This window comes from Homo sapiens (assembly GCF_000001405.40).
Source record: "Homo sapiens chromosome 14 unlocalized genomic scaffold, GRCh38.p14 Primary Assembly HSCHR14_CTG1_UNLOCALIZED".
Classification (NCBI taxonomy): domain Eukaryota; kingdom Metazoa; phylum Chordata; class Mammalia; order Primates; family Hominidae; genus Homo; species Homo sapiens.
In genome coordinates this window covers 115,386-126,781 of record NT_113796.3, presented here as the reverse complement: position 1 = coordinate 126,781, position 11,396 = coordinate 115,386, and the positions used below count along the sequence as shown (strand labels likewise).

Here is an 11,396-nt window from a genome sequence, read left to right as displayed (position 1 = left end):
ATGTATAGGAGACTGGGGCCCACAAAGAGAGGGAATGACAATCCATATCCTGGAAGGCGAATTGTCAGGCACTGATTTCCCCTATGTAAACCCTGCCAATCATCGTGTATTTAAAGGATCCCCGGATACCTTACCAATAGGTGTTCAAGAGAGAGGACTGTAATCTAGGTGTCTGAGAAAGCAAGGCTAGAGATTCCAATATTGGAGACAACAGGGCTCTGGGAAGATTAAGGTTGAGTTTTCTGGATCTGCAGAATAGAGTCACTGAGGAGCAATTGCAAGTTCAGAGGAGATGAAAGAACAAGTCAGGGCATGCTTAGGAAAAGAGAAAACCAGGGATAGATTTTAGGCAAGAGTCACACTGAGGAAGGGCAGGTTCTTGGCGTCGCTCAGGAAGGAATCCAAAAGCAAGCCTGTGGTGGAATAAAGCAGCTCTATGGAGGCATTGGCGGTGTTACAGCCCTGCGTCCGCTCCTGCAGGGCAGGGAGCCCTCTGTGGGTTGTGCTCCCAGAGTAGCAGCCTAAGGGTGGCTTGTAGTCATTTTTATAATTCACTTTTAATGACATGCTAATTAAGGGGCGGGTTACTCAGAAATAGCTAGAAATGGGCAGTAACTTCCAGCTGTTTCCATGGCAAGGGGTGGGGACTTCCTGTGTTGCCATGGCACTGGCAAACTGTCATGGCGCTGGTGGGAGCATCTTCTGGTTATCTGAGGCGTGAAGTGCTTTCGCTGCCTCTCCCAGTTTCCTCTGTGCCTCTTACCTGAAAGCCCTTCACACCCCCATCTACCCACCTACAAAGTTCACTGCCCTTTCACCCCACACCCGTTTCACACGCACTCCCACATCAACCCCAAGCATTCAAGCTGGCAATTTCCCTGTTAGGAACCTCGGTGGTAGCCGGAGCTCTGAAAAACCCCTAGGCAGAACTCCTTGCCTAGTTTGTGGCAGAAATCAGGGAAGGAAAGGCAAAGTTCAGGTATTTCGCACAATAAATAAATAAAGATAGGTAGATTTGACTGATGGATGGATGGATGAAACGTGGGAGTTTATGGGCAAATGTTCATCAGACACTGGAAGTGTAAGTTGTCACAAAGATTATGGAGTGCACTTGTCTTATGACCCTGTTATTTTATCCTAGTATATACACTAGAGCAATTTTTTCTAACTGTGTAAATTGAAAGCTCACAAATTAGCTTCGTGAGAGAAAAGATAACAGATTGGAAGAGAATTACCATATTCATTAGTTGTGTTTTTAAAAATTTAAAGTAAAATAGAGACATGATTTTTTTCATGCTTTCGAATGCATCTATAAAAAATAGACTTGAGGGCTGGGCGCGGTGGCTCACGCCTGTAATCCCAGCACTTTGGGAGGCCTAGGAGGGCGGATCACGAGGTTAGGAGTTAGAGACCAGCCTGACCAACATGGTGAAACCCCGTTTCTACTAAAAATACAAAAATTAGGCGAGTGTGGTGGCGCCCGCCTGTAATCCCAGATACTCAGGAGGTTGAGGCAGGAGAATCTCTTGAACCTGGGAGGCAGAGTTTGCAGTGAGCCAAGATCGCACCATTGCACTCCAGCCTGGGTGACAGAGCGAGACTCCATCTCAAAAAAAAAAAAAGTTACTCATTAACAGCATAGACCAATTGGTTTCTATTGGAATTTCTCCATTATTTTCACAATGTCCCAGGCTGTGAATCCAGGATTTAATAACGAACCAGAATGCCACATCTGTGTCACGTGGGTAGGGACCAGTCCTGATCCATTAAGTCCGGGTCTCCAGGTAACTGGACTCACTGCTGGGCAAAACAGAATGTCCGGCGTGCGTTCCTAACGGGGGACCGCAGAGCCTCATAGGAAATGTAGTGTCACCTTCCAATGATGTTTACCATCAAGGACCTTGGGAACCAGGTTCTCTCTACGCATGTGCCACCCCGCCCACTTCGCCATTTTCCTCCGGAAGTGCGGATCCCAGCGGTGGTCGTGTAGCTGAGCAGGCCTGGGGCTTGGTTCTATGTCCCTGTGGGTAGGTGCGAGGGCGAGGAGGAACCTGTGGGCCTCGGGGGATCCCGGGGGGCCAGACCAGTGTTCCCCATTTGTGGGGGCAGACGCGTGGGCGCATCGCGGGCAGGAGGGGCCTGACGTGCATTTGCGGGCCGTGGACCCTGGCGGGGGCTGGGAGGACAGACGTGGGGTCCCAGCAGTGAAGCGGGTTCCAGAGGCACAGGAGTGGGTAGGCGAGGCTGGTGGCCCTGGGCCCGGAGTCTGCAGGCCGCGCTCCTGTCCTGCCGCTGAGGGACCCGGTTACCAACCCTCATGTAGCTCAGTTTGCCCATCTGTCCCCGTGCTAACACACAGTTCTCGGGAGACGTTCCCCATTCCCAGAGGAGTAGTGCGAAATGCGTGTGCCTCTAGTCTTAAGCTGGGCGTTTGTATTAGTTGGGTTTCCTGGTGTCTATTTAGCAAGTGAAGTTTCTGGTTCCCTCCTTCACTGTGTGACCTGCCTAGTCCTCCTGGATTGCATTTATGGAAGTTTATAGAGACCTAGTTTCCATGGAGGAACTCACTGATTCCGCCAGGGAGATGGGGTACTGGATGATGGTCTTCAGCCTTAAGGGTACTTCAGTCTTAACTGTGTGTTATAAAGTTTGAAAGGGAGGGTTCCCTATGAATAAGAAGCGCACTTGAAAGAACAGCCCTGTGGTCTAACCTCTCACTGGTGCTTCAGAGGAGGATAAAAGGTCGCAGGTGAAGATCCCAGTTTTCCTCGCTCAGGAAATATTAATTCTACTCCCTGGAATGCACAAGATTTGCAAAGACTAGGTGATAGTGGAAGGTTTGGAAGAACTTTCAGAAGGTTGAGGTGAATTCAGCTGAGAAGAACAGGCAAGGACCTAGGAAATATTCCTTATTTGAAGGGGCCTGAAAGTGTGGTCTGGGGTGCAGGAGTGACCTGTCATACTTGAAAAGATTGAAATACTCTCCAAATACAGTCCCATTCCTTCAAACTTACCTTGTTGTTTCCAGTGTCTGAGATATATTAAACCTAGTCCATCACCAAATATAGCATAGATTGTGAAGTTCTATTGATTGCATTTGATTTGTAATTTAAGACTTTCTCCCCCTACATAATTTCGTTAAAAACATTGAATTCTATTCACTTAGGTGTAACAGTTAATATTTGCTGTTTAAGGAACTAATTAAACCTTACTAGCTTATAAAAAACAACCACCATTTTATTTGTTTGAAGTTCTGTGGATCTGCATTTTGGTGTGGTGGGTTCAGCTGTGTAGTTGATATATTTGTGTTGCCTGGATCACAAAACAGGCCTTAGTCACCTGGTGCCTTGACTGAGCCTGGTTGGTTTAAGATAGTTTCCTTCACAATCTGGTGGTTTGTGGTGACTCTTGGCTAGGCCCTGTGTCTCCAACAGGGTAGCTCCAGACCTCTTCACAATATGACTGTGTCCAAAAAGGCAAGAACCAATGGATATTTGCATCACATTTTCCATTGTCCATTCACTGGACAAGTCAGATGGAAAAGCCCAATTTATTGTCAGAGCATAATATGAGGGCTTGGATACAGGGAAAGGTGTTATTGGGAAACATGAGTAGAATCGTGTACTGTAGGAAATACATATTATGTACATTTTAAAAAACGTAGGCCAAAATTGCTGGGTTGCAAGATGCACTTTCCATGATGTTGAGGTATAGAAAAGCAAGATGTACTGTCATGGGAATACTCATATGAAGTTATTTGTGGAATCCACATATTAATAGGAAAATGGTTAATACAGCCCAGTATATTTCTATAACATTTATTTTAGTGAACTTATAATGTTTCTTTGTATTAAATTATTAGATTATATCTTTAGGTAATATTGTTACTAAATTAGTAGGTAATACATATTTTTATTCAAAAATAAATTGTGCATCTAATGTCTACCAATTAATGTACTTGTAGATGTATCTTATCTTAACTTGAGTCTTTGCTGCCACTAATGAGGTGTGAAGGACTCTTCTCCCATGGGGAAGTTTTTCTTTTTCCGGAGGGAGGAGGGCTTTTCCAGGTAATGTGTCTAGAGTGTTGGGCAGAAGAATCTGGGACCACACCTCACCAGTTCTCTCCTTAATCGACGTCATTTGCCTTCTCTTCCAGCTATGTTTCCAGTGTCCTCTGGGTGTTTCCAAGAGCAACAAGAAACGAATAAATCTCTGGTGAGTTGTTTATTTGTTCTTCACTTTGTTTTACACTGTATTTTCTGAGTTTATGGGTGTCTGTGAATTAAAAAGGAAAAGTGGAAATAAGTAAAACTCAGGTTGAAGGAAATATACATAAATAAGATAAAGCTGACCTGTAGATATAGACAGGTTATAAAAGCTTAGAGTTGTCTAAGTTGAGTGCAAAGTTTCCTCTGATCTTTCTGATGCCGAAACAAAAAAGGCAGTCATGTTTGTTACGTGATTGGAATGGAACCCGAAAAGAGAGCACGCTGTATTCTTGTGGGACAGGAAAGCTTGTGTGCACCAAGTCTTAACCACCACCTTCATTGGTGACATAGATTATGTGCTGGAACATATTTCACACCGGTCTGGCAGTAAGCACTTGTAGTGTTGTGCAGTGGAAACAGTCATCTTCCGCTAAGGCATGACGTGTTGTGCAGTGGAAATGGTCATCTTCCGCTAAAGCATGGCGTGTTGTGCAGTGGAAATGGTCATCTGACGCTAAAGCACAGCATGTTGTACAGTGGAAATGGTCATCGTCTGCTAAAGCACGGCGTGTTGTGCAGTGGAAATGGTCATCTGCTGCTAAAGCACAGCTTCCATCATAAGGTATGCTCCTTGCTCAAAGAGTGTGGTCCCAAACAGCTTTTGGGAGGTCCTCCTTGACTCATGGATGAAACCCGGAACATCTTGAGGACTGAGTTAACCACAGGTCCTTAAATAACTCTCCACACATTTTTCTTAGTTTATCTCTACATGCAGGGTGTGCAGCAGCCTGTTCAAAGTCATATTTTCTGGGAAATATTTTCAGTGTTTATTTGCAATTTAGCCCACTCTGTGTAGTCTTAACTTATTTCTTCTAAACTCACCATTAACCTAAATAATAGTCAAATTTAGGGGGGCTGTATTTGTCTTACTCGAGTCTTCTACCATAGTTGAAACTGTCGTACCCAAGCGAGTTAGAGAGAAATGCCACACTTTGAGACGAATTCAGGAGTCCTTTATTAGCTGGTGACTGAGAGATGGCTAACACAGGAAATACTCTCGGCCCTAAAGAATGGGCTAGATTTTCTTTTATACATTGGTTTAGAGAGGGGAGGGGGGATTCCAGCTGCAATAAACTTACAGAAGAAAAAACAGACAAAAAACTTAAAAAGACAGATGGTTACAGGAAAACAAACTGTTCCAGGTGCAGAGGCTTTAAATTCACCACAAAGTGATGAGTGAGGGTGCTCTGGGCTTTATCTTCCAGACAAATGTGGGGGCTTTATGATATTATCTCTGAGTAATTTGCTGGGAACTGCGGACATCACTTGCCTCAGCACTTTATCAGTTAATTGCACTCTTTGATATGTTGAAAATCAGCTTGCACAAGTTAAAGTCCTTGAGGAAAGGGGGTGGGTAAGGAGCCCTTGATGTCTTGTAAATGAAGGAGCCAAATGGAGTTTGTCTGGTTTTCTCAGCTAAGGGAGAGTCTATTCATATTAAAAACAAGGTTAGCTATCTAAGGAAGAGTCTATTCATGTTAATACAACGTTGGGTATTACAAAACATCTGTTCATGATCTGGAAATTCTTCCGTGTTAGTTCTGTTAAAAGAAAAACTTTAAAGGAGTTTAACTGAGCAATAAACGATTCATGAATCGGAAAGTCCCCAGAATCACAGCAGATTCACAGAGACTCCAGCACAGTCATGTGGTGGAAGAAGATTTGTAGACAAAAGGGAAGTGGCATAACGAAATCGGAAGTGAGGTACAGAAACAACTCAGCGTTTGCCTTGTTTGAGCACAGTTTGAACATTTGGCAGTGCCTGATTGGTTGAAGTTTGGCCATTGGGATTGGCCAAGATGTAGCTGTTGTTTGAGGTGCATACACTCAAGTTAGGTTTTCATTCTTGTTTACCTATTAAGGTAGGTTGCAGGTCATCCACAAGGACTCATATATATAATTATGGAGTCCTTCTCAGGACATACTTAGTTCACTTTAACAATGCCTTCCCTTTGGTTATTTTCTCAATTTTGAGAGATTAGCCAAAACTTCAGTCACTGGTGTCACTATTACCCTTGCAAATGTACTTATTTGGTTTAGAAACCCACTGGGAAATAGAACAGTGAGATTTGAAAAGGTGGAACAAGGACTTGAGTAGAAGGTGTCTTCTTATGCTGGAATATCCTGTTTACAGGAGAAAAACAAAACCTGGTTTGTTCTAGGATTTATGTGTTTCCTTAAAGTCTTAGTTTGATTATGTTCCATTTAGCATGAGTGACTCCATTTTGGTTTGGTTTGTTCTGTTGGGACCTATTGCATGAGCTTAGTTCAAAACAATGGCCTCCCAGAATTTTGCTTAAAAAATTCCTCCTTTTGGCTGGGCACGGTGGCTCATGCCTGTAATCCCAGCACTTTGGGAGGCCGAGGTGGGCAGATCACGAGATCAGGAGATTGAGACCATCCTTGCTAATACGGCGAAACCTCATCTCTACTAAATACACAAAAAAATAGCCAAGAATGCTGGCGGGTGCCTGTAGTCCCAGCTACTCAGGAGGCTGAGGCAGGAGAATGGCCTGAACCCGGGAGGCAGAGCTTGCAGTGAGCCGAGATCATGCCACTGCACTCCACTCTGGGGGACAGAGCAAGACTCTGTCTCAGAAAAAGAAAATCCTCCTTTTCAGTCAAGTTCTCACTTAGTTGAGAGTGTGACCAAAATGTAGGGCCTTAGCCTCACTCTTAGTTACCATTGTTTTGGGTTTCCGGTTTAGCACATCACTCCCATTGTTTTGGGTAATGGTTTTAGCACGTCACTCCCATTGTTTTGGGTTTCTGGTTTAGCACGTCACTCCCATTGTTTTGGGTTCTGGTTTTAGTACATCACTCCCATTGTTTTGGGTTCCGGTTTTAGTACATCAGTCCCATTGTTTTGGGTTTCTGGTTTAGCATGTCACTCCCATTGTTTTGGGTTTCTGGTTTAGCATGTCACTCATAGGTTACGGTGTCCTTATGGTTGCACATTTTTTTTAATCTGTTGTCATTCCAGATGAAGAGATACCATTTGACATTTTAGAGATGGCTGCATGCAAACTCTTAAAACATTTGAGTAAGTACAGTGCACCAGGGAGACTCTTATGACTATTGGGATAACACCAAGAATTTGGTATATGCTCCTTACTCCGGGTCCCCATAAATCAAACCACCTAAAATCAAATAGATTAAAGAATGAATTAGATAAAGAGTTTACTTGCTTAACTAAGTGGGTTTTTTTGTTAATTCCCTACAACCAAATCTTTATAATACCCGATGTTTTCTCCATATGCCATGTTAGCAGCTGCACAGATACTTAAGATAATAGTCTCATGATAGTAGAGAAGTCTTGATCTGTGATCTTGGGAAAAGCTGTTCACATTAAGGATGCCATCTTCTTCTGGGGGGGAACTGTCCTTGTTAGCTTTACCTTAAGGGTTCCAAGGGGTGTATGGTTCCGAGTGTGGAGGGACCCTTCAGAGTTGTAAGACTATGAACCCAAAGTTTAAGGTTTTAAAGTTTTGCTGTCATGTGGATGGCAAGGGCAGTCCTCTGATGTTCTCAGAAGATCCAGTCATCATATTCTAGATTGTGAAGGGGTTGGCTGTCCTCTGTGAACCATAAAAGGCTTTCTTTAGCTGGTGAAAATACACTTCAGCATAATAATCTACTGTTTTAACATCAACCCTCTTGCATGGAAGAGCTTTTTTACAATCAGAAAACATGCACTGAAAATGACAACTGAATGAAATCCCTTTATAAAATGTTTAAATGGCCCATCAGGTAACCAAATGCACCTGAAGTTTTGATTGTTTTCCTAGGAATATAGGTTCGACAAACCAAACATTGATTATAAACTATTTTAGCAATTTAGAGATCACCACAGCAATATATTTAATTTGGATCATTTTCTCTTTCCATGATGAGTTATGGAATGCAGAACTTTTAATAACAAAAGTTTTAAGGACTTAAGACGGAAAGGTGGCCATCCTGGTTCTTCATAAGTCCGTGCTTAATTAACATTAGACTTACATCCTCTTGACTACCAGCTGTTTCTTCAAATTAGGTGCATGGCACTGGTAACTGATGAGTTATAGGTAATTTGGCTTAGACCATGGAGTGTATTTAAATTATATATCTAAACAATTTCAATATTGGTGATTTAGCATGCAAATCTGGCAAAATATTTCCTTGATATTCAATTTTTGTTTTACTTGGGTTAGCAGTTTTATAAACCAGTTGGTCTTCTTATTAAACTTTAGGATTTTTTTTTTTTTTTTTTTGAGACAGAGTCTCACTCTGTTACCTAGGTTGGAGTGCAGTGGCACAATCTTGGCTCACTGCAACCTCCGCCTCCTGGGTTCAAGTGATTCTCCTGCCTCAGCCTCCCGAGTAGCTGGGATTACAGATGCATACCACCACACCCGGCTAATTTTTGTAGTTTTAGTAGAGGTGGGGTTTCACCATTGGCCAGGCTGGTCTCAAACTCCTGACCTCAAGTGATCCACCGGCCTCAGCCTCCCAAAGTGCTGGGATTGCCAACATGAGCCACTGCACCCAGCCTAACTTTTGAGAATTCTTAACCAGTCCAATTATTGGGGGATCGGGGAACTTATGGGGAATTTTTACCTATGATATTAAAGTTATTAGAAACCTGTGTTCCCGAGTGTTTTTCATGTTCCTTTTCATTCTTTCATGAATCTTCTATTCTAGAATTTTGCATGCTTGTGAAGCTTTTAGAAACTGCATCACCATTAAGCAATTAACTGTGGAAATGACTTTAAATAGTTATAGTTAAAGACAATTGATAAGGAAATTTGCTTATTTCTGTGGTCTACAATAACTTAATAACCATAATTAGGGTGGATGTGGTGGCTCATTCCTGTAATCTCAGCTCTTGAGAGGCCAAGTTAGGTGGATCACCTGAGGTCAGGAGTTTGAGACCAGCCTGGCCAACATGGTAAAACCCTGTCTCTACTAAAAATAAAAAAATTAGCCGGATGTGGTGGCAGTTGTCTGTAATCCCAGCTACTTGGGAGGCTGAGGCAGGAGAAATGCTTGAACCCAGGAGGTGGAGGCTTCAGTGAGCCTAGATCACACCATTGCACTCCAGCCTAGGTGACAAGAGCGAAACTCTGTCTCAAAACAAACAAAACAGGTAATTATGATAGATAGCATATAGGCATATTAGAATTTTAGAATCCTGGCCAGTTGCAGTGGCTCACGCCTGTAATCCCAGCACTTTGGGAGGCCGAAGTGGAAGGATCACGAGGTCAGGAGATGAGAACATCCTGGCTAACACAGTGAAACCCCATCTCTACTAAAAATACAAAAATTAGCTTGGCATGGTGGTGGATGCCTGTAGTCCCAGCTACTCGGGAGGCTGAAGCAGGAGAATGGCATGAACCCAGGAGGCGGAGGTTGCAGTGAGCCGAGATTGTGCCACTGTACTCTAGCCTTGGTGACAGAGCAAGACTCCGTCTCGGGGGAAAAAAAAAAGAATTTTAGAAATCCTATACAATTTTAGAAAGGGTTGATGACATAAACTAAATATAACCTCAAGAAGGTTCAACATTATGTTTTATTTTGACAGTGCTACCCATGTGACTTAACATGTTAAATAGTCCTGTTTACCTCTCTTTTGGGTGCTTCAAGGGCCTCTGTAGTATCCCAAAGGTAGAGGTCAGAAAAGACAATTTTGAAGTTGAAATTTGATTTTGGGAAGCCTATTAAATATATTAAAAGTTTAAACACTTGATGTTATGAAATAGAATTCCAGGTCACCGTAAGTCATTCATTTACTTAAAATCATGACTTAAAAAAGTTTTAAAGGGCAAAAATCTTTACTCATTGATAGAGGGAAGACTTATCTTCACAAACGATCTGCCTCTTGTTTTTCCTTTTTTTTTTTTGGTAGTTTATTTAAAAGGCAAACAAATTTTTCATTATTTTTTAATATTACCTGAACATCTTCTTTAAAGAGAGAAAGCCAAATGTCACCCACTTTTTCATAAAACCTTATAGACAAACCTATTATTCTTTCTTTTTTTTTTTTTTTTTTTTTTTGAGATGGATTTTCCCTCTTGTTGCCCAGGCTGGAGTGCAATGGTGTGATCTCGGTTCACTGCAACCCCCTGCCTCCCCTGTTCAAGCGATTCTCCTGCCCCAGCCTCCTGAGTAGCTGGGATTAGAGGCATGGGCCACCATGCCCAGCTAATTTTGTGTTTTTAGTAGAGACGGGGTTTTTCCTTGTTGGTCAGGCTGGCCCTGAACTCCTTACCTCAGGTGATCCACCTGCCTCAGCCTCCCCAAGTGTTGGGATTACAAGCACGAGCCACTGCACCTGGCCATTTTTTTTTTTTAAAGATTGCGTCTTGCTCTGTCACCCTCCTCACCACATTATAGCTCTGGGGGCCAAGCTGCATCACAATGGAAAATCATGGAATCGCAGGAAGAATCCACTCAGCTTTGCCAAATGCAGCCCAAGGGGTTGCTTGGAGTAACCAAATTAACATTTTTCATTCTGCCCAGAGCAAAATACATGTGACAAAACATAGACACGTGCCACTTTGCTCAGCACCCAGTATCAAACTGGTAAGACTCAAACTTGCTCCCAGATGGGCCGTGCCATCTCTAAATCTTTTTAGAAGCTTCTGCATATTAATAGGCATCCCTAGATGAGACTAATTTGGGAGCCCTCATTTTTAAATGCACTTCAGGGCATTATTCATTTGGAATGTTCCACTGTAAGTTATCTTAATAAGATTTTGCCATTTCTGTAAGACTTTGCTGCTTCCCAGGCCTAATGTATTAGCCAGAAGGAGCTTAGTTTTCCAGAAATTAAGGATCCTATTTTTACCAAAAATATTGGCTTTACTCCCGGGTTCCCTTCATTAACTTAGCCAATGATTTTTTTTTCCTGCTTAAGAATGCGAGAAAAATGAAACAAAGGGGTAGAACACAAAAATCCCTGTGAATTTTCAAAAGCCAAATGTTACAACCTTCCAATATTATCATTTACTACCACTTTCCTTCTGACCCAGTCAGATGTAGGAGGCCTCTAACTGGAACTGGATTCAAGCCAGTTAACTACTGGATCAAATCTGATCCTGGACCTGGTCCCTTTTCTGTCATAACTTCTAAAACATCCAGCCAGTC

At 42.7% G+C, this 11,396-nt stretch overlaps 1 long non-coding RNA gene across 10 annotated transcripts in view, besides 3 other annotated features; it reads left to right on the top strand.

Moving 5' to 3' along the window:
• Positions 1 to 1,934: 1,934 nt before the first annotated feature.
• Positions 1,935 to 11,396, top strand: part of LOC105379271 (uncharacterized) — a 114,785-nt gene continuing 105,323 nt past the window's right edge. For 6 of the 10 annotated variants that reach the window (XR_007068492.1, XR_007068490.1, XR_007068489.1 and 3 more), the window contains exons 1-2: positions 1,941 to 2,027; positions 4,160 to 4,218. This is a non-coding gene — a long non-coding RNA (uncharacterized LOC105379271). Of the gene's footprint in view, positions 2,028 to 4,159; positions 7,451 to 10,307; positions 10,350 to 11,396 lie in introns of those variants that run through there. The other 4 variants (XR_949082.4, XR_949079.4, XR_949081.4 and 1 more) reach the window with 4 other exon arrangements.
• Positions 4,184 to 4,683: an enhancer, noted in NCBI's record as "H3K4me1 hESC enhancer chr1:143464915-143465414 (GRCh37/hg19 assembly coordinates)". NCBI's record gives its function as "activates a minimal SCP1, AML or CMV promoter by ChIP-STARR-seq in primed H9 embryonic stem cells {active_cell/tissue: H9 hESC(primed)}" and the evidence as "EXISTENCE:reporter gene assay evidence [ECO:0000049][PMID:30033119]".
• Positions 4,684 to 5,185: an enhancer, noted in NCBI's record as "H3K4me1 hESC enhancer chr1:143464413-143464914 (GRCh37/hg19 assembly coordinates)". NCBI's record gives its function as "activates a minimal SCP1, AML or CMV promoter by ChIP-STARR-seq in primed H9 embryonic stem cells {active_cell/tissue: H9 hESC(primed)}" and the evidence as "EXISTENCE:reporter gene assay evidence [ECO:0000049][PMID:30033119]".
• Positions 9,242 to 9,404: a silencer, noted in NCBI's record as "fragment chr1:143460194-143460356 (GRCh37/hg19 assembly coordinates)". NCBI's record gives its function as "represses an EF-1alpha promoter that drives an FKBP-Casp9 reporter gene in an ReSE screen in phorbol 12-myristate 13-acetate-treated (for megakaryocytic differentiation) K562 erythroleukemia cells {active_cell/tissue: K562(+PMA)}" and the evidence as "EXISTENCE:reporter gene assay evidence [ECO:0000049][PMID:32094911]".